The sequence below is a fragment of the Homo sapiens genome, chromosome 8, assembly GCF_000001405.40.
Source record: "Homo sapiens chromosome 8, GRCh38.p14 Primary Assembly".
Taxonomy (NCBI): Eukaryota; Metazoa; Chordata; class Mammalia; order Primates; family Hominidae; genus Homo; species Homo sapiens.
In genome coordinates, this window is record NC_000008.11 from 39464851 (window position 1) to 39487681 (window position 22831).

The following is a 22831-nucleotide window of genomic DNA, read 5'->3' on the forward strand; positions in this document are numbered from 1 at the left end:
GTCTCTGTATTTTACCAATGTCCATTTCCCAGTTTTGACATTGTAGGACAGATTTGCAACATTTTAACATTGGTGAAGGATGAGTGTAGGTTGATTTATTCTTCTTTTAATTTACTTATGTATATATTTATTTCAACTACTTTTTTCATCCTAAATTAACTGAAACTACTTTCTTCAGTATCATCTACTAATAAAGTACCCCAAATTCTAAGTTGTGGGAAGAAGGAAACTCATTCTAACAACCTCTTGGCATATATTTTTTCTTGATCTTCAGTGTCTTTAACTCCTTTGCTCTAAGTTGCCATATTAAGATATTCATACATCTAGTTATATGCCACTTCAGCATATTTGACATATGAATCCATTCCTCAAGCATTTATTCAGGTATACAATTCTAATAGTAAAATAAAGGTTTAGTAAAAACAAATATATTTATTCAGGACTTTTCATCAAATCAATTTAAAAATGTTCAGTGCCACAGACTACTCATATGCTGTAGGCATGAAAAATTTAATGATTTTTCTCTTTCAATATTACAGTTACCTTTAAAGATTGAATTTGATTGTGAATTGGGATATCACAATAGGTGACATCCTTGGAATTCACAGACTATATAATAAAACTGCAACGTTTTCTATAATTTAAGTATACTTACATAGAAAACTCTGCTGTATAAATAGAAATATTCTGGGAACCCTGCTTAAAGTGAAGGGGAGGCCTTTTAAAATGTTTTCTAGGTGAGAACTAAAACTATACAGAAAATTTTGGTTGGCAGAAAGATTCAGAGCTGTCTGGCTCTAGATCCAATTTAGTAGCCACTAGTCACAGTAGTCATTTAAATTTAAATTAAATAAGGTAAAATACAGTTGAAATTTCAGTTCCTTAGTTTCACTATCCACATGTTGGGTGTTTGATAGTTATACAGGATGGCAAAGATGTAGACCATTTCTATGAGAACAGAAAGCTGCATTGAAACACAGATCTAGAGACTAACCTACTGTAAGCCAAAATCCATCATTGATACTTCCTCCTGGTGATGACATTGCTGGCTCACAATCTGGAGGAGCATAACCAGGATCACATTGACAATGGAAATGTTCATTGCAAATCTAAAACCAAAACAAACAAAAAAAGCATTTATGTACAACCAAAAATTCACTGCCTTATATGTGATTGTTAGTCAATGTAAATTTTAAAAATATTACCATTTAATATAAATTTTAAATTTAATATGAAAAATAATTTTAAAAATAAAAGGCAGTATAATAAATGTCCATGCAATATATTTTCAAACATCATAGAGGTATCTTCTTGTTTGTCTCTTACATTTCTAAATAAAGTGAATACCATTCTTGATACAATTTAAATGCTTTTTATTAGAAGGGCGTACAGATTATGATGCTAGAAACTATAGAATGGTGGGAGTAAAAATTTATTATAAATTGTGTTGGATTTAAAAAAATAGTTGTGATGAGGGCCAAATTTTATTTAAAAAAATAGGGGGGGAAAGCCAAAATTTTAAGATGCTTGCTCAATCAGATACAGACACAAAAAATTTATATAGAAAGCTAGAAAAAATGTATAAATGTGATCTGGCAGACGAATGGAAAAAGGGCCAGTAGAGAATTCAGAAATAAATGCATACAAAATTGATTACGAAAGTAAATTAAAATTAAGAAAGAAAAGAAACTGTAAATAATAGATGTGTAAGTAATTTTGAGGAAAAATTGATGTAAGCCACACAGGCAGGCCACTTTTTCCTGAATTACTATAAAAAATATGAATCATCAATATGGCAGAAGACACTGACCACAAAGAGACAAATGCATGCTTAGAATGACTTATAAAGTTTACAACATTTCTATAAGCCAGTAGATAAGTTTACAATAGATGAGCAAACAGAAATGCAAGTGGCAGATATGACCATATATACTTAGGAACTGTATTATTAATTAGCAAATAAATGCAAATTAATAATGGACTTAGCATGTTAAAAGAGACTAAAAAGATTAATACAACTAATCTGGCCAGAATATGAGGAAATGCACATTTTCACACATGATAGGTGGGAGAAAAAACTGGTATAATGTTTCTTGACGACAGCATAATACTTAGGAAAATTCAAATTGTGCATATATTCAGCCCAAATTTTATTTGCTAATAATTTAAGGAAGCATATCAATGTGCAAAGGTAAATTTACAATCATATCTGTTGTACCACTATTTGTAATAAGCTAAAATTTAACATTAATTGAAAGGCCATCAGTGAATGGCATTTTGAATATAGTATGGATGATCCATATAGTGAAATAAGTTGAAGCTGTTGAGGAATGAAACAGATCTTAATGGATTGAAAACTCTGATCTCATAAATCAATGTACATAACAGTGTGTGAATGTTCATATTGTATAAGTACACATACGCTCAATTATAAACAATATGTATGTATATGCATAAAAGCATAAGTAGAGTCCTTAATAAATCCATTTCTAAAATTTAATAATCTTAATCTAATATCATAATAATGGATTCTGTTTCATGGTGCATTTTTTACAAAGTGTAAAACTTATTTGCTCATGAAGCCCATAACAATCTGATTATATGCATAAATAATATGTATGTATAAATAGTGGATCTACTTTCCTTATTTAATGACAATTTTCAAAAAGAAATTTTCACATCTACTACTTGTGAACTTTATTATTATCATAGAACATGTTATTGACATAGATTAAAATAATTATACTGAGAAAAATAGTAACTGTTACATACCCCATTCTGTCCACAATTTGTAGTATATTTTGTTATATTTAGTTCACTAAAATTTCTGCATTCTCGGGAGTGACATACCTAAAATGTTATGAAGCAAACAGCAACAAAAATACTAAATGTAAAGTCAAGAGATAAGGAATCATATTCATACAAATATTATATGCACAGGAGATATACAGAACAGATGAATCTGAATTTCATAGCATTTTAATAAAAACCCATAGGAACAATTCTAAATGGTATGTTATTAATAAGAAATATTACAAATGAGATATTTTCAGAAAGCAGAAATATACATTTTTATTACACACTGGTACAAGAAAAAAGTAGCCAGCTTGTACTAGCAATTTTTAATTTATAGGACCTCTTTTAACACTTTTTATGCACCTTTCTTTTATTTACTCATATAGACCCTTAGAAGGAGATATTTTTGGGCTCATTTTGTATTTGAGTAGTAGGGTGGCTGTGTCAAATGGTGGGTAGTACTTTGAGAAATCTCCATACTGTTTCTCAAAGAGGTTGTACTAATTTACATTCCCAACATCAGTGTATAAACTTTCCTTTTTCTCCACATTCTTGACATCTATTGTTTTTTGACTTTTTAATAATAGACATTCTGACTTGTGTAAGACGGTATCTCGTTAAGGTTTTACTCTGATAGTTGGTGATGTTGGGCATTTTTCCTATGTTTTTTGGCCGCTTGTATGTCTTATTTTGAGAAGTGTCTGTTCATGTCCTTTGCTCACTTGTTAGTGGGGTTACTTGGTTATTTTTGTCGCTGTTGTGTTGTTTGAGTTCCTTGCAGATTCGGATATTAGTCCTTTGTTGGATTTATAATTTGCAAATATTTTTCCCATTCTGTAGATTATCTGTTTACTCTGTTGTTTCCTTTGCTGTGCAGAAGCTTTTTAGTTTAATTAAGTCCCATTTATCTACTTTTGTTTTCATAGTGTTTGCTTTTGAGGACTTGGTCACGTATTCTTTGCCTGGGCCAATGTCCAAAAGAGTTTTTTGTAGGTTTTCTTCTAGGGTTATAGTTTCATATCTTATATTTAGGTCTTTAATCCACCTTGAGTTAGTTTTTGTATATACTGAGAGGTATGGGTCCAGTGTCATTCTTCTGCATATGCTACCCAGTTTTCCCAGCACCTTTTCGAAGATGGTCCTTTCTCCAATGTATGTTCTTGCTGGCTTTATTGAAGATCAGTTTGATGTAAATATGTGGATTTCTGGGATCTCTTTTCTGTTCCATTGATCTATGTGTCTATTTTTATAATTATATCTTGCTGTTTTGGTTACCATTGGATTGTAGTGTAACTTAAAGCTAAGTAATGTGATGCTTCCAGCATTGTTCTTTTTGGTTAGGATTACTTTGACTAATCAAGCTGTTTTCGTGTCATATAAATTTCACATTTTCTTATTTCTGTGAAAAATGACATTGGTATTTTGATAAGGATTGCATTGAATCTGTAGATTGTTTTGAGAAGTATGGTCATTTTGATGATATTGATTCTCCCAATCCATGAGCACAGGATGTTTTCCCATTTGTTTGCATCATCTATAATTTATTTTATTTATTTAATTCAGTGTTTTGTAGTTCTTGTAGAGATCCTTCTCCTCCTTGGTTAAATATATTCCTAGCTATTTAATTTTATTTTTTGGTAGCTATTGTAAATGAGACTGTCTTCTTGATTTTGTCCTTGGCTAGATCATTATTGGTATATAGAAACACTACTAGTATCTGTCTATTAATTTTGTATCATGAAACTTTATTAAACTTATTTATCAAATCTAAGAGTTTTTTTGGTGGAGTCATTAGGGTTTTCTAGACAAAAACTCAATCATCAGGAATAATTTGACTTCCTCTTTTCCAGTCTGGATGACTTTATTATTTTCTCTTGCCTTATTGTTATGGTGAGGACTTCCAGTACTATGCTAAGTAAGAGTGGTAAAAGTGGGCATCCTTGCCTTGCTTTAGTTCTTACAGGAAATGCTTTCAATTTTTCCTTGTTAAGTATAATGTTGGCTGTATGTTGGCTGTATGGTTGTTGTAGATTGCCTTTATGATGTTGAAGAATGTTCCTTGTATGCTGAGTTTATTGCGAATTTTTATCCGAAGAGATGCTGAAATTTATCCAATGATTTCTCTGCATCAGTTGAGATTATCATATGGTTTTTATCTTTCATTCTGTTGATGTGATGGATCAAATTTTTGATTTGCATGTGTTGAACCATCTTTGGATCCCTGGGATGAATCCCACATAATCACGATGTATTATGTTTTTGATGTGCTGTTGGATTTGATTTGCTAGGATTTTCTTGAGGACTTTTGCGTCTGTGTCTTCCAGAGATATTGGTCTTTACTTTTTTTTATGCCGTTGTTTGGCTTTGGTATCAGATGATACTCGCCTTGTAGAATGAGTTAGAGAGAATTTCCTCCTCCTTGATTTTTAACAATTGTTTCAAAAAGATTGGTATTATTCTAATTATTAGTTATTCTATTTATTAGTTAGTCTAATTATTAGTTATTCTATTCCGGAGGTAGAATTGGGCAGTGAATCCACATGGTCCTAGCCTTTTTTGTTGTTGTTGGGATAATTTTTACTACTGATTCAATCTCACTAGTCATTATTGGTCTCCTTGGGAGTTGTATTTCTTCCTGGTTCAATCTTGGTAGGTTTTATGTTTTCAGGAATTTATCTATTTCCTCTAGGTTTTCTAGCTTGTGAGCATAAAGTTGTTCATAATAGTCTCTAATAATCTTTTGTATTTCTGTGGTGAGTTATAATGCCTGCTTTTTTATTTCTCATTTTGTTTGTTTAGATCTTCTATCTTTTCTTCTTGTTTAGTCTAGCTGGTAGTGATAGTGACAGGGGCCAGAGAAATCCTAGGCAGAAGAGGGTGGGTCCCTGGCAAAGCCCCACCATCAAGCCGAAAAGCCTGAGACCGCAGCCCAAAGTGAGAACTCATAACCCTGTTTTCCCGCTCGAATGCTGCCTTTCCCTAAACATCCATGGCCCACCCCACCCCCTCAACCTTTGCCTATGAAGACCCCCAGACTCAGCCGGCAGAGAGGAGAAGCAGCTGGATACTGGGGACTACAGCCGGACATTGGAGAGAAGTGGCTTGACTTCAGAGGGACAGCTTGACAGTGTAACTTGGAGGAGAGTCCAGCTGGAGATGGCCGGACTTGAGGGGAAGATTATCTGCTCGTCCCCTTTCCAGCTCCCCTTTCCACTGAGAGCCACTTTCCCTGGCAATAAAATCTCTCGCATTTACCATCCTTCAATTCGTTTGAGCGACCTCATTCTTTTCTGGATGCCAGACAAGAGCTCAGGAGCCACGAGTGTGGATACAAAAGGCTGCCACACTGGCCCTTTGCCCTCGCTGGCAGAGGACAGCTGCGGGCCCACTGAGCTGTTAACACTTAAGCCATCTGCAGACTGCAGAGCTAAAAGAGCACTGAAACATGTCCTCTGGAGCTTCAGGGGTCGCAGGCACCCCCCTTAGATGCTGCTGTGGGGCCCGCAGGGAGTTTGTTTCTGCCAGCACCCAAAAGCACTTGCTCCGGCTCCTTTACCCGCTCACCTGCACGCTCCCTCCTGCGAGGGGTGGAATGCAGCAGGTCCCAGCGAGTGAAGCTCACTCCTGCCAGCACCGCAGTGGCTGGCTGGTTTCTGTGCTCGTATACTCCAGTTCCCGCCCCGTTTGCTCCTGTGCTCCCTCCCGCGAGGAGTTGAGCGCAACAAGCTAAGTAAACAGGGCATCCCTGTCGTGAGTCCAACGAAAGAGTTGGGGAAATACCGTGGTTCAGTAGTGTATCAATTTTATCTTTTTGAGGAACAAACCTTTTGTCCTGTTGATCCATTGGGTTTGTTTTGTTTGTTTAATCTCTGTTTAGTAATGACGGACCTCTCTTCTCACTCTGTTAGTTCTCATGAGAGCTGGTTTTTTTGTTTGTTTGTTTTTTTCAAGGAGTCTAGAACTTTCCTCCTCTGTCTCTTGCTTCTTCTCTCACCGTGTGATCTCTGCACATACCAGTTCCTCTTCTCTTTCCACCAAGAGGAAGCAGCGTGAAGCCCTCACCAGAAGCAGATCCTGGCACTATGCTTCTTGTTCAGTCTGCAGAACTGTGAGCCAAATAAACCTATTTCCTTTATAAGTCACCTAGCGTTAGTATTCCTTCATAGCAACACAACAACTGACTAAGACACATTAAATCTCACAAGCTAAGGGGCTTCGTCCCTCAAGACTGGCCCCATATCAGGTGCAAGTATCAGGTAAACCATACTTCTGACAGACCAGATATAAATTAGGGGTTCTCATGACACCCTCCACAGGGTAACAATGTTAGAATGGCTCACAGAACTCAGGAAAATACTTTACTTGTATTTAATGGTTTGTTACATAAGATACAACTCAAGAACAGCTACATGGATGATACATTTATGGCAAGGTATTGGAGGAGAGGAGAAGAATTTCCATGCTTTCTCCAGCTGCACCACCCTCCCAGCAAATTGATATGTTTATTAACCCAGAAGATCATTGAATCTCTTTGTTTGAGGGTTTTAATAGAGATCAATTTCCAGCCCTGCCTCTCTTCTTCCAAAAGTCCAGTGAGTCAGGCTGAAAGTTCCAACCCTCTAATCACTTGGTCATCCTGATAACCAGCCCTGTTATAAGGCCAGCAAGGGGTCCCACCCTAAATCGCCTGATGGAAATAAGCACAATTTCAGGTGTGACTGAAAGGTGTTTATTCATTCTCAAGAACAAAAAACACTCCCATCACTTAGGAAATTCCAAGGGTTTTATTAGAAGCTGTGTGCCAAGAATCAGAGGCAGAGACCAAATATGTTCTGTGTTATGCTATATATATTATATATATAAAAAAGATAAAATTAGTATATCTTTTATATATAAAAGATAAAATTAGTTAATATATTTAAGTATTTATACTTCTGTATTTATAGTAAATATTTTTTCAGTTTGTTTTAAATGGTCTTTGGAGGAATGACGTATTACTTTACAATATAGTCAGCATCAGTATGTTCCTTTGATTAATTCATTACTTTTATGTGTGAATATCTTTTCCCATTCTGAGATAAGTATACTTTTCACTTAAATTTATCTTTTTATTTTAAAAATATATTTCTATATGTAAATTATTTTTATAAAAATGTGTGGTAATTGTATACTTTTTAATTAGTCAACTTATTTTTCAGTGTTACTAGTTTGAAAAGCCTTTATTAGGTATCTCAAAATTCTTAAGAAAGATAAAAATTAAAAAAACTTAAACACTATGTTTTATTGTCATGTTTTATGTGAAGGCCACATTTTAGACAAAATATGCTTATGGAAGAAGTAGTAGGAGAGCAGGTTAATGAGAAAATAATTGCTTTACTTCAATTGTAACCAAAATAATTTTTTGTCAATCACTACAAGACTAAATATTTGTCTTTTTTGGGTTTTGTTTTCTTTAAAGTTCTTGTTATTCAGGTTGTTCTGACATTTTTTTTTTGCATCATTTTATTCTTTTTTGTTCTTGGTTTACACAAATCATCACAGATCAGATCCTGGCCTAACAGGGAGTCTTAGATTCTCAAGCAAGACGAAACAAGTTTAAATATCAGTAGTAAAAGTTTAATAAAAATAACAGATAGTAAAACAAGAATTTCTTTAACCAGCCGAAATTCTGATCAGTGTATCTTAAGATCATGATATTGTAACCAAAATTTGTAGCATTCATTATAAATGAAAATTTAATCATCCTCTCAATCTCTCTCTCTCTCTCTGATACACACACTTCAGACACTCACAGACAAATCCACCATATATCGTATCAATAAAAATTTTATTTACCTTGTGTTGGCCACATGCAGTTATATCTTCTGTATAGGTCTCCGATTGTTTTGAACCATTTCTTGCATGTGCGGACAAACATACGTGACCTCTAAGGTAAGTATATTGTATGTCTAAGTCTGTCATTGGTACTAGTTCTGAATGTATCCAGTGACAAACAATCTTTCCACAAAGGATATCACTAGCAACATAAGACAGAAAAAAGTTACCCATTTGTCACTTAGGTACACAATTAGGTTAATAACAATTCAAAAGTGAGGATAATTCAAAATATTACTCAGATCATAACAGCAAAGCTTTTCACAGCACACAATGCCATATTAAATGCAACAAATAAGTCTATCTGTATATACTAGATACTGTCTCTCATTTATTTCAAGTCACTCTTTGCAGTACATACACAAAACACAACGCACGCACTTGGAAGATGTATACTTTTCTAAATACGTACAAAAAATCACAACGGGAACCACAGTTTCCAAATTTGTCATTTTGAAAATTCACTTCTTCTGTACACAGAAGATTAGCAGACTTAGCAACTGAAAACATAAGAAGTCATAGTTACTTATATTAAAATATTAAATGGTAAAAGTGTGGTAAGTCAATAGAAAGATATCTAGACAACAACAAGGCCCAGTCAGTGTAATCTGCTATAAATTTTTGATGTCATCTACTGGCTTTACAAGGAGAAGCACTTACTGAAAACTACACACATGAGAAGAGAAAAATTCATGTTATAGTGTAGAAATAATTAAGAAATCAGTCACCTGCTCTCTTATCTACTATTCTAATAGTCTACTCCCTTTGCAACAACCACCTTAAGTTGGACTAATGTCCTACTGTTGCATCCTGTAGTTATTAGGTCTATTATAACTCTTGACATCATTCAAAGTTGCTTTGATTTGCAATTTTATTTCTAAATTTGAATGTAAAACAACACTTTCAGGGATGGCTCTTGGGTGGGTTACTGACTTTAGAATAGCTACAGTTTAAATATAAACCTCAAAAAAAAAAGGTAAAACAATTACATTTTCCAAATAACTGTGAACACTGTCTATCCCTTTCTCTGCATACTCCTTTAAAGCAATAGCTAGTCTTATTACTGCAGTATTCTAAATCAGCAGCTTTCACATCAGGTACACAAAACTCAGATGTTCCATTGCAATATTCTGGAAAATCACACATATCTACACTTTTTCTGCAGACATGGCCTCTTTCGTGGATCTGTGAGAGAAAGAAAAAAAAATACATTTATTTTTCAGGCTCAATCCAGTTTGCCTCCATTACCAAGAATTGAAATGGACTAAATCAAACAAGGAGCTCCAATGGCCTATCTATACTGCATATTGAGAATGCTTGTTTGAGAATTGTCAGCTTAAAAGCAAGGATATCCAAGAGATGCATAGAATAAAAATCCTGTTTGAAACAAACACTCACTAGAGCATGAAGCCAGACCTATCTTCAATTTTAACCTAAGTTTGTGTTTATTTTTCTTCGCTTGGACATTCTTCATCCAGTTACAACTGATCAATACATAATCAGTATTAATGTTTTTATTTAAAAATTACCGGTAGGAATATCTAAGCACTCATTAGAAATAGGTAATAAAGGCCAGGTGTGGTGGCTCACGCCTGTAATCCCAGCACTTTGGGAGGCTGAGGCAGGCGGATCACCTGAGGTCAGGAGTTCAAGATCAGCCTGGCCAACATGGTGAAACCCCATCTATACTAAAAATACAAAAATTTTCTGGGTGTGGTAGCATGCTCCTGTAATCCCAGCTACTTGGGAGGCTGAGGCAAGAGAATCACTTGAACCTGGGAGGTGGAGGTTGCAGTGAGCTGAGACTGCACCACTGCACTCCAGCCTGGGCAACAAGAGTGAAAGTCCTTCTCAGGAAAAAAAAAAAGAAAGAAAGAAAAAGAAATAGGTAATAAAACTTACCGTACAAGTTTTATTGTTACAGCATGATCCAGTGCCACATTCTGCAGATCTAACTAGAGTACAATCTGCAGGATTACAGCATTTTTTATGAGTGCATGCCTAAAAGCAAATACATTAGATTTAAATGTTTTACATCAGATTTTAGTCAAATAAATAGTTTTATTTATTTTCGAAATAAAGTATCTCTCCAACTTGATTCTAATCACACCATGACTTTTGGATTCTGTATTTTTACACCACTTCATTTAAACTTAATGTACTTTCCCTATAAGAAAAAAAAAGATGACAATGAAAATATTCACAATTTCATTCTAAAGAAATTGATCTATTAAAAATTTAGTGCAATTTTTTAAAAAAATTATTTTTGTTTATAAAAACATGCATGCAAGTTTTTATATTTTTTTACTTACTATACCATAAGTACTTTTCCATATCATCAAGTCCTCTCAAGGGGAGTGGCTGGAAGAGTTTGGAGGAGCAAGATAGAAAAAGCCTACATTTGGCCAGGTGCAGTGGCTCACCTGTGATCCCAGCGCTTTGAGAAGCAAAGGTGGGCAGATTGCTTAAGCTCAGGAGTTTGAAACCAGCCTGGGCAATGTGGCGAGACCCTTTCTATACCCAAAATACCAAAAATTAGCCGAGCATGGTGGTGTGTGCCTTTGGTTCCAGCTATTTGGGAGGCTGAGGTGGGAGGATCGCTTGAGTCAGTCGGGGTGGAGGTTGCAATGAACTGAGATCAGGCTGCTACACTCCAGCTTGGGTGACAGAGCAAGACTGTATATCAATAAATAAATATGAATAAAAAGCACAGATTCTTGTTAGGGATTAAAAGACAAGAAGATGAGGGAAAGTTTTAAACTTCTTAGAGATTAGATAAATGCTCATGACCAGAATGTTGATAGAAATATAGATAGCAAAGGTCATTCTCATGAGGTTAAGATGAAACTGAGGAATAAGGTTTTAGAAGCAAGGGCCATCCTTGCTATAAACTGGCCAAGAACTTGGCTGAACTGTGACCATGCCTGAGGGGTTTGTGGAAGGCCAAACTTAAGAATGATGAACTAGGATATCTGGCAGAAGAAATTTTACATAGCAAAGTTCTCAGAATGTTGTGTGGTTGCTTCTAATTTCTTATTGTAAACTGCTAGAGAAAAGAGGAATAGAGCAGAACAACTTGAAAAACTCATAGTTTGCAATATAGTAAGGAAGGAAAGCGCATTCACAGGAGAGAAAACCAAGGATGTAGCACAGGGACACCTTTGCTTAAGAGATTAACAAAGATAGAAGAAAGCGGATATGGTCAGGATCGGTGTTCCTGCCCAATTCTCCCTACAATGTCAATTGTAATCCCCAATGTTGGAGGTGGGGTCTAGTGGGAGGTGGCTGAATCATAGGGGTAGCTTCTCATGGTTTAACACCATCCCACTGTGGAGCTGTTCTCATGATAAAGTTCTCACAAGATTTGGTTGTTTAAAAGTGTGTATCACCTCTTCCTTCTCTCTCATCCTCCTGCTCTGGCCATGTGAAATACGCCTACTTCCCCTTCACCTTCTGACATGATTGTAAGTTTCCTGAGGCCTCCCCCAGCCATGCTTCTTGTAGAGCCAGCAGAACAATAAACCAATTAAACCTTTTTTCTTTTTTTATAAGTTACCCAGTACCAAGTATTTCTTTATAGCATTGAGAGAATGGACTAATACAAAAGCCAAGTGCTATTCCTCAAGCAATGAAAGAAAGGCCCCAAAGGCATTTCAGATACCTTCGAGGCCCAGACGCCTAGGAGGGCTGAATGGCTTCAGAGGACAAGCCCAGGGCACTCTCCATGAGCTCACTGACCAATTCCACCTCAGGATGCTGCTCCTGGCCCTGCTGCACAATGCCCTGCAGCTACCACGGCCTCAGCTGCAACGGCCATAGGTACAGCTTCTATCGCAGCTCCAGATGGTACAAGTCATTAACCTTGGTGGAATCCACATGGTGCTAATTTTGCAGGCTTGCAGAAAGTAAGAACTGTGGAAGCATGGCAGCTCCCACTCAGATTTCAAAGGATGTCCTTGAAAGCCTGGAGGCCTGTCAGAGACTTGTTGCAAGGGCAAAGCCACCACAGAGTCCCCCCAGAGCAGTGCCTAGTGGAACTGTGAGAGTGGAACTATCACAGAGACCCCAGAACTATACAGCAGCCAGCATGCAATGCCAGCCTGGTGGTGTTGGGTTGATTGAGCCCAGCCAAACCATAGGGATGGGGTGACCCAATGCCCTGGAGCCCACTGTACCTGTTTATAGAAGATGCAGGACATGTCATCAAAGGAAATTATTCAGGAGTCTGAATGTCCATCATTGGCTCTCTTGGGTTTCAGACTTGCTTGAGGCCTGTTACCCATTTCTTCTTGTCTATTTCTCCTTTTCAAAATGGGGTTGTGTATGCTGTGCTTTTAAGTAAATAACTTGTGTTGATTTTACAGGTTCTTAAAGTATCCCCTAACAGACATATTGGCAGTCTTCCCCAAGGGACTCCTTGTGGCTAAAATGAGACACACCAGAAACCAGAATATCATGGCTAGCAAAATGAAGGGGTAGTCATGTATTCTGGTATAATTAATTCTATGCCAGCTGATAACCCTCTCCCGCACCTTGTGGTCCTGCCACAACTCCAACTGGACAGAAAACTGGTCTTATAAACATTCTTTATTGATAAACACTCAGGAACTTCAAGCCAGTTTCAGGCAACTTATAGAGACTGCGCACAAACTGTCTTTGTGCCCTACGGTCCCTTTTTGACATAAAGAGCCAAATTCCACCTCATTTTAGTGATAATTAAAAGTGAAGTGAATGTAGAACATATGTTACATGAATGTTTACTCACTGTACACACGCCTGACTGCCCTCATGAATATTCATAGATTTCTCCCAGTCTTGCTCAGTATGTGTGTAAAGTTGACTCTGAAAGACATATATACCACCTCCCTCTTCCTTTCTGCAGAGAATGAACTTTTGGCTTTCACTGGAAGCTATGTTCCCCAATCTACAGATTGCTTCCGCCTCTGAAAATGTCTTTTCCTTTTCTTCCTTCATGGATATCAAAGTCTTTTGTTAACAGTTCTGGCAACATGGGATGGGATCCAAAGTGGCCCCTGATTTCTTTCTTGGCACTGCCTTGAAAAATTCCTAAGTTCAATTGCATCCTGGTTACACTGGGCAAGAACTGGGTAAGTGCTATTGAATCTGAGAGTTCAGGCTTTTAGATTGAAATCTAGGGAAATGTTTTCTTTAAGAAAGTTCTGCCCATTCATCTGTGGCCTAGACCTACCTGCAGTCCAGCAGGGATGCCTGCACTAACGTTGCACTGGGAAGGCCACCTTCTTTAGGTGAGTACTGTGCGTAACTTACCCAGTAAGGAAATGGTTTTGGACCAACTGCTGTCAGAGACTCTGGAGGTTTACATGTTTAAAAACTATAGGAAAAATTCTTGTTAATATTTGGTATCCTGGATAAAAATAAGTCGGTATGACTTAAAGCTTTCTTGGTCACAATGGGGAACTTTTAACATGCCTCAATCAGTTTATCTACATGTGCAATAAAGAACAGAAGATTCCAAACCTCTCAAAAGCAGTGTGAGGTCTTTTTCAGTTGCTAAAATGAAAGCTCAAAGTGAAATCAAGGATCCCTAGTTGCCTCTTTAAAAGAGACTAAATCAAAACTTAATCAAGATCTTAAAAAATTTGAAAATTCTTCTAAATCGGACCCTAAATCCAAAACTAAAAAGGACACTGTGCCTTCTTGCCTTTCTCCTTGAACTCCACCAATGCCACCCCCATATGCATTAGCCCCATGCTGCCAGTCACTTCTCTCTGAGCTGCCTTTCTTTCCTTCACCTTCTATTCATGAGCAACCCCCTCCAGTTGCTAATTCTGCAACCCCTCTGATCACACCTTTTAAAGGGATTGCTAACTAGGCTTGCAAATTACCTTTTACTGTCCTGGGACAAAGTCTCAGCTTTCTTCTAGCGTTAGTCAAAGAGTTTTCTAATCCTAAAATAGACTCACTTGAGTTTGAATGCCGCTTTAGTTTGATTATAAATGTTTACCAGCCAGGACCTCCTGATGTTCACTAGTTGATTCAAGTCTTAGTGGAAAATGTCTTAACCCAAGGATGGATGTGTTTAGCTGACTGGACTAAGCCCCAAGATGATTTTCAGCATACTAAGGAAATAGCCTTTGAAGTGGTGAGAAAAACAATTGTTGAATTGATTAAAGCCATCTCAGCACTCTTTCCTTGACAAACTAATTGGAATGCCATTGACTCAGAAAAAAGACAAATCTGTCATTGATTCCTTTGACTGATTCAAAAGGCTTTCTTTTTTCTTTTTCTTTTTTTTTTTTTGTTTTTTTTTGAGACGGAGTCTCGCTCTGTTGCCCAGGCTGGAGTGGAGTGGTACAATCTTGGCTCACTGCAACCTCCGCCTCCTGGGTTCAAGTGGTTCTCCAGTCTCAGCCTCCTGGGTAGCTGGGATTACAGGTGAATACCACCACACCTGGCTAACTTTTTTGGTATTTTTTAGTAGAGAAGGGGTTTCACCATGTTGGCCAGGCTGCTCTCAAGCTCCTGACCTCAGGTGATCCACCCACCTTGGCCTCCCAAAGTGCTGGGATTATAGGTGTGAGTGACCGCTCCCGGCCGATTCAAAAGGCTTTCTACAAAATTCTGGTATCAAAGATCTAACTGATGATATTATAAATCTTTTTTAACTCACTTTCCCTCAAGTAAGTTAAAGCCCTTAGCACCCTGCTTAAGCAATATGATCCCAATTGGCCTTCTAAGAGACCCTATGATATAGCTTCTTTGGCCAATCGCTTCTCTAAAATCCTAGAAAAGAAAAAAGAGGCTAAAGCCACCAAGGCACTAGAATGGCAAGAAAGACAGATAAACTCATGGCCTTGCATATTCAACAACTCATAAAGTCTCTCCCAGATCAGCAAACTCCATTTAATAGTTAGAAATTAGTTTCGTCAGTTGCAAGAGGTATAATTTGCTTTTTCTGGCATTTGAAATGAGACTGTAAAAAATATAAATGAGGGCTTCAGAAGGACACCAATAAGGTAAAGAAACCCCCTTCTGCAGAAACAATAAGAGAAATACTTATTGATCAGAACTAGGGGTACTTCAGGGAAACATGGGGGATTTTTCCTCTCCTTTCAGTCAGTTGATTGGGAGAGGTTTATCTTAAAAATTAACAACAGAATAGTCCAAGCCCTAATAGATACTGCATCTGTGCTTAACCTTGACTCCTTTTAAAATCCAACCACCCAGAGTGACCAAGCTATTCAAATGGCTGAGTCACTAACCAATCTAAGACTATCTTCAAGTCTGAACTAGTTTCTTACCAACTAGGGCCTCTTACTGGCATTGCAGCTTTTCACTTCTCCATTTTGCCACAATACACCTAATAGGAAGGGACTTTCTTGAAAAACACCAAGCTTGTTTTTCTTTTACATTGTTTTAAAAGTTTCCTTGCCTGAGGCTTCAGCCTCTGACCTCAGCCATGTATTCCCCTTATTAGTCTCCAGTCATCCAGTTGATCCTGGACATCCAACTCTAAAGTAACTGTTTGAAACCCTTTGGGAATAAATCAATACGAATGTCAGCCCGATCCAGTCAGCACCACCCATTTCTACACAAATAGATCCTAACAAACCTCTACTGAACATAAAATAATATCCCCTCCACCATGAGGCTTTAGCTGGTATACAACCTATTGTCAGTAATTTCATTTTCAAGGGACTTATTAGTCCATTTATACCAGTCCCTGTAACATACCCCTTCTACCTGTTTCTAAGCTAATAGAAAGGGATGGAGACTTGCCCAGGATCTTAGAGCTATTCATAACATTTTATTCCCTTGCATCCTGTTGTGCCTGTTCCACATACCCTCTTATCCAATATACATTCTAACATCCAATATTTTTCCGCTGTTGATCACTATAGTACTTTTTTCACCAACCCGGTTGACCTCAAGAGTCCATTTCTTTTTGCCTTCACATGGAAGGGCCATCAGTTCACCTGAACAGTGCACCCTGAAGGATGCACTGAAAGCCCTATCTACTTTTCCCAGATCTTGCAGGCTGACTTAAAAGACATAACCTTCTCGATACGAACAGACATTTCTCAAAAGAAGACATTTATGCGGCCACCAAACATATGAAAAAAAGCTCATCATCACTGGTCATTAGAGAAATGCAAATCAAAACCACATTAAGATACCATCTCACACCAGTTAGAATGGTGATCATTAGAAAGTCAGGAAACAACAGATGCTGGAGAGGATGTGGAGAAATAGGAATGCTTTTACACTGTTGGTGGGAGTGTAAATTAGTTCAACCATTGTGGAAGACAGTGTGGCGATTCCTCAAGGATCTAGAACTAGAAATACCATTTGACCCAGAGATCCCATTACTAGGTATATACCCAAAGGATTATAAATTATTCTACTATAAAGCCACATGCATATGTATGTTTATTGCAGCATTGTTCACAATAGCAAAGACTTGGAACCAACCCAAATGCCCACCAGTAGATAGACTGGATAGACTGGATAAAGAAAATGTGGCATATATACCCCATGGAATACTAAACAGCCATAAAAAAAGGAGGAGTTCATGTCCTTTGCAGGGAAATGGATGAAGCTGGAAACCATCATTCTCAGCAAACTAACACAGGAACAGAAAACCAAACACTGCATGTTCTCACTCATAAGTGGGAGTTGAACAATGAGAACACATGGACACAGGGAGGGGAATATTACACACCAGGGCCTGTTGGGGAGATGGGGGACTAGGGTAGGGATAGCATTAGGAGAAATACCTAATGTAGATGATGGGTTGATGGGTGCAGCAAACCACCATGGCATATGTATACCTATGTAACAAACCTGCATGTTCTGTAAATGTATCCCAGAACTTAAAGTATAATTTTTTTAAAAAAGACATAACCTTCTCACATAGCTCAACTCTACTGCAATACATTGGTGATTTGCTTTTATGTTCTCCCTTATGAAATACCTGTCTCACTGACACTCTCCATTTACTTCACCAGCTATGTCTTAAGGGCCATAAAGATTCTAAAGATAAACTACAGTGTTGCTGACAATTAAACCTCTTGGACATCTGCTGACCCCTTGGGACTCAACATCAACCCTTTCTGCCTTCAAGGCATATTTTTCTTCCCCATTCCCACTATGAAAAGACAAAACTTAGGGCCTTTCTAGGACTCATGGACTATTGCAGAGCTTAGAACACTAATTTTTCTTTACTAGCACAACCTTTATATACCCTGATTAAGGCCTCTTCTCCTGACCTCCTTACCTGGACTACCGATGGTGAACAGGACTTTAAGTCTCTGAAAGATAAGCTGTCCTTTGCCCAATACACCCCTCAATTTGGGACACTATTTATGACCTCCCTTTTTCCCCTTTTTGTTCATGAGCAAGAGGGAGTTTGAACTGAACCACATGGGGGTAATAATTTACCCAATTGGTTACTAGATTGCCAAACTGGATTGTGTCTATCCGGGGATACCACCATGTTTAAAGGCAGTTGCCACAATCACTGTCCTTATAAAAGCCACCGAGAAAATAGTAATGGGATTTCCTCTCACTGTTTATGCTCCTCACTCAGTTAAAGCCCTTCTCACTTCTCGCCAAATCCAGTATCTTTCAGCCAGTCGATTGACTGCCTATGAAATACTTCTCTTTCCCAACCTATTTTCCATTGTAATCTCCTTAACTCTGCCCCTCTTTTGTCTTCACCAGAAGATTCTCTATGACTGCATTACCTTTACACTCTTCTTTCACCCCATATGAATTTAAAGGAAATGCCCTTACCCAATCCTGATTTTGTCTGGTAGATTGATGGGCCTTCTTTCAGAGACCCTACTGGCTTCTATTAAGCTAGGTTTGCAGTTGTTTCCCTGACAGAAACTATTGAATCAGGCCTTCTGCCCAACAGGCAGAATTCCATGCTCTTACCCGAGTTTGCCTGTTGGCCAAAGATAAAACTGCAAACATTTACACAGATAGCAGATACGCTTTTTGGGTTGCTCATGACTTTGGAATTCTCCGGAAACAGAGGATTTCTAACCTCTTCTGGACTGCTCATCAGAAACAGAGACCACATTTTGTCATTTCTTGATGCCATTCAAGTTCCTAGGACTCTGGCCATGATTAAAATTCAAGGCAATTCCTTTAGACATACCGAAAATAGCAAAGACAAACATCTAGCTGAGAGTGCAGCTAAGTCTGCAGCCTTAAACAATACCCCCCTTCTGTTATGCCTGTCTTAATCCAGGCTCCATCCTTACATCCTGTTTCTTCTAAAAATCTCTTGAAACAACATCTCAAAAAAGGTGCTCAGAACTTGAAAAGGAAAATTAGACAAAACAAGGCTGTACCTATAATCCCAGATCCCAACTATGGGCTAAACCTAACAGACATTCAGTCCTTCTAGAAAATTTACCAAGGGTCACTTTTACTTTTATATATAACCCCACCATTAGAGTTCTGACCAAAGGATCCAATGGTGTAAACAGTGCTGTTGGGGATTGCTTCTTAAGCTAATATATTAGGCAAAATTCACCCTTATACAATGCAGGGAAGTCCTTAAGGGCTACCCTAGGCAAAGTCCCAATGCGAAAAGGGCCTTTCTAAAACTGGACTACTGATTTTATCCAATTTTCCCTTTCTCAGTGATACAAATATGTTCTTGTCATGATAGATATGTAGTTTTACTGGGGGAAAGCTTTCCCCTGAAGACAAGCCACAGTGATGCCAGTAGCCAAAGTACTTCATGAGAAAATTATCTCTACCTATGGAGTTTCCACCAAGTTCCACAGTGATCAGGGAACTCATTTTACTGGACAAGTATTAAAATGAGTTGCTAATGTTTGGCCTATTCTAAGACATTTCAGCGGTGTTTACCACACCGAATCTTTTGGGCTTGTGGAATGAACCAAGAGAATATTCAACTCAATTGGCTAAAATTACAAGCAGCTTCAATCTGCCCTGGCCCAAAGCTCTTCCTCTGGGTTTGGTAATTGTGAAGTCCATCCCCACCAGAATTGCTTTTCCCCTTTTGAGGTGGTCACAGGTCAATCCATATATTTAACCGAAGAAATATTTTCCCCTGCTTAGATACAAGGCGATCTCCTGACCTACTGCCAAGTCCTGGAGGACTTGTTAATGCTCTAAAGACTAACAGCTGGTTGTGAATCCCTTTACAGTCATCAATCAGGAGATGAACCCCAATATCATAATGTCCAGCCTAAAGACTTTATATATTAGAAGAGATATTGCTGAATGACTCCCTCCAATCCCACTAGAAAGGTCCATTTCAAGTACGCTTAATTAACCCATTTGCTGCTAAGGTACAGGTCATTACTCCTAGGTACACATATCTTACCTAAAAACAACACCAGACTCTGCTGAGAACTGGACTTCAGCATCAATATCTGACACTAAGCTCAGGTTGACTAAAGCCTCAATGCCAAGACAAGAAAAGGATGACAACTGAGGTAGACTGCCCTCTCACAAAACTCCAAGCCTATATGGTCTGGATGAATCAATGTTTATATTTACCTTATAATAGTCATTGTTCATATCACTTCAGGAGTTTTCACGATTGTTACTATCCAATGTAAAATAGAACACTTATCTTTGCCTTACTTATTCTAAACTAACATGCCGAGCCTTTATGATTCCTTTATAACTGTTTCCATTATTATAACATTAGCAATCTTGTCTATCCTGGATATCTTATGCCATCCATGCTGGGATAGTTCTGTGTATTCCAATACTTAGACACCCATAAGCCTTTGCAAAACTATAAGACTTTTTGTCTGGCTAAACTCTTTGTTCCAGAGCTTTGTGAATGGTTGTGTTGATTAGTCCAGTTCAAAATAAATTTTACTCTATTCTTTATAACTGTCCCTTTGTCTCACTGCATAGAGTGACATGATAACACTTTGGCTAAGCTGTCCTGAAGTGTTGTTACAAATAGAAACCTATCAGATGGTTAGATTCACCAATAACTTCCCACATTCATTCATGGTAAACATGTGACATTGACAATACTTGTCACTGACTTCTCATGTATCCTTAACATCACCACTTATCTGGATCAACTGCTTTCCCTGTTGTCTCTGAGTCCAATTGCCTCAAGACTCAAATATTACCACCTCTTGGTTTAATTTGTCCCATGTTATTGATGTTAGAAACCCATTCTATACCAGTGGACCTCCTCGATCTTTAAACTAATGGATAGATAAATATAGTCTAAACTGAGTAAAGAAAGGTATGTCCCTACTATTCAAATGATTCATGATTCAATTCAATACTGTCAACATGAATAAATTCATTAGTGAACACACCCTTAAGGGCATCGCTTGTGCCTTCACCAGGCTTTGTGTTTATATGGGACATAGGGTCTGATCTGCCTGGATAGGGATGGTCACACCATTGCCTCAACAGCTTACACATAAAAGGTTCAGGCTTGCTTATGAAAAGACCCCCGTTCTGTCTTTATTATAAAACTAAAAGGTCTATGCTAACAGGATGTAAAGATAATATAGGTAAAAACATCCTAGAACTATTACTTCTAAGTGCTTGGGTTTATGTTACTGGAGATATAATTCAAAAACCTATCCACTACCATTGGTTAGATAGCTGATGACACTGCAGAAAGCCTTACAGCGCAACAAAAAGTTTCTGGACTCCCTTGGTCAAGTAATACTAAATAATAGAATTGCCTTAAATTGTCTCCTAGCCAAACAGAGAAGAGTCTATGCAGTAGCCCATGTAACTGCTTACACTTACATCAACACCTCAGATAAGGTAGAGGTTCCCATAAAAAGAATTTCCAAACAAGCTAAATCGTTATGAGATATGCAAACTACTGATCCTCTCCATCTATTTAGTAGGCTTCCTGTCAGACTGGAAAATTCTTTTTGAGCTGACATTCAAGTGCTTGTTGTAATCACAGTCTTCATCATAGTTTCTTCCTAATAGTTAAATTACTTGATATATATATATGTCTGTGTGTGTGTGTATATATATATATATATATGTCTGTGTGTGTATATATATATATATATGTCTGTGTGTGTATATATATATATATATATGTCTGTGTGTATATATATATATGCAACTGCTGTAAGTCTACTGTTAAAACCAGAATTATGGCAGCATAAGGTGTTCAACTGATAGATAAAGTAAACCTATAAACCTAGCTACAGTCTCATCCCTACAGTGCCGTTCTGGTGCAGGAATGTGTATATGTACGAAGACAGCTGTGCTAGTTAAAAACAAGTGTTACAATCTCCCATAAATAGAGAGTTTTAACTGTAACCCTAATGCCTATGACTTCCCTGTGTAACTGGAGTCTGTTAAGTATTTCACTGAAAGGTACCAGCCACAAGCTTGTTTACTTAGCCTCTGTAAAACATTTTAATAATCTTCCTGCCAGATTGCAGTTTTCTCCCACCTCCAACAAAATATTTTTGACCTGTCTACCCTTTTCCCCTGCCTGGCCTAAGTTATACAATTAGCTGTAAGTCTCTCTGCCACATGGGTCCCTTCAAGGGACTTGATACACTCAGGACAGGTAGCCATGCCACCCTGGCACTAATATGGGACATGGTGTAAATTGGTCATCAAGGCTGCCTACAGCAGGTTTCAACTAACAGGGAAAACAATGAATATATATTCCAACAGACAGGCAAAATGGACTCCCTGTGGCTAAAATGAGATTTAGCAAAAAACAGAATCTCATCACTAGCAGGATGGAGTATCAGTCACATATCCCAGTGTTATTAATTGCCATAAGTTTTCTCTCCAGTAACTAAGCAGAAATAAATCCCTGAAAAGCATTTCTGAAACAACTACAGCTGGAAAATTTCCCAACTGACCCTGACAGGCTGCTAATGCTAGTCAACACCCCCAACGCCCCCGACGCCTGTGCCTTGCAGTCCTGCCATAACTCCAACTGGACAGAGGACTGGTCCTTTATTGATAAACAGCCACAAATCTCAAGCCAGTTTTAAGCAGTTTACAGAGACTATGCACAGATTATCTTTGTGTCCGATTGGTTCTTTTTGATATAAAAAGCCAAATTCTGCCTTATTTTAATGCTAAAACCCTACCCTAAAGTGAACACTGAATGCATGTTACATATATTTTCACCCACTGTGCAGGCACTTGACTGCTTAATATG

At 37.8% G+C, this 22831-nt stretch overlaps 1 pseudogene across 4 annotated transcripts in view, besides 1 other annotated feature; it reads right to left on the reverse strand.

The window, feature by feature from the left end:
- Positions 1-22831, reverse strand: part of ADAM3A (ADAM metallopeptidase domain 3A (pseudogene)) — a 71945-nt pseudogene that overhangs the window by 13806 nt on the left and 35308 nt on the right. For 2 of the 4 annotated variants that reach the window (NR_001569.3, NR_024106.2), the window contains 6 exons: positions 10573-10671; positions 9660-9855; positions 9083-9170; positions 8632-8812; positions 2773-2850; positions 995-1109 (listed from right to left, as the gene is read on the reverse strand). The product of NR_001569.3 is annotated as an ADAM metallopeptidase domain 3A (pseudogene), transcript variant 2 (transcript). Of the gene's footprint in view, positions 1-994; positions 1110-2772; positions 2851-8631; positions 8813-9082; positions 9171-9659; positions 9856-10572; positions 10672-12845; positions 13094-22831 lie in introns of all 4 variants that reach the window. The other 2 variants (NR_024107.2, NR_073423.1) reach the window with 2 other exon arrangements.
- Positions 15837-15886: a silencer, noted in NCBI's record as "silent region_19141". NCBI's record gives its function as "represses an Ori minimal core promoter by ATAC-STARR-seq in GM12878 lymphoblastoid cells {active_cell/tissue: GM12878}" and the evidence as "EXISTENCE:reporter gene assay evidence [ECO:0000049][PMID:35858748]".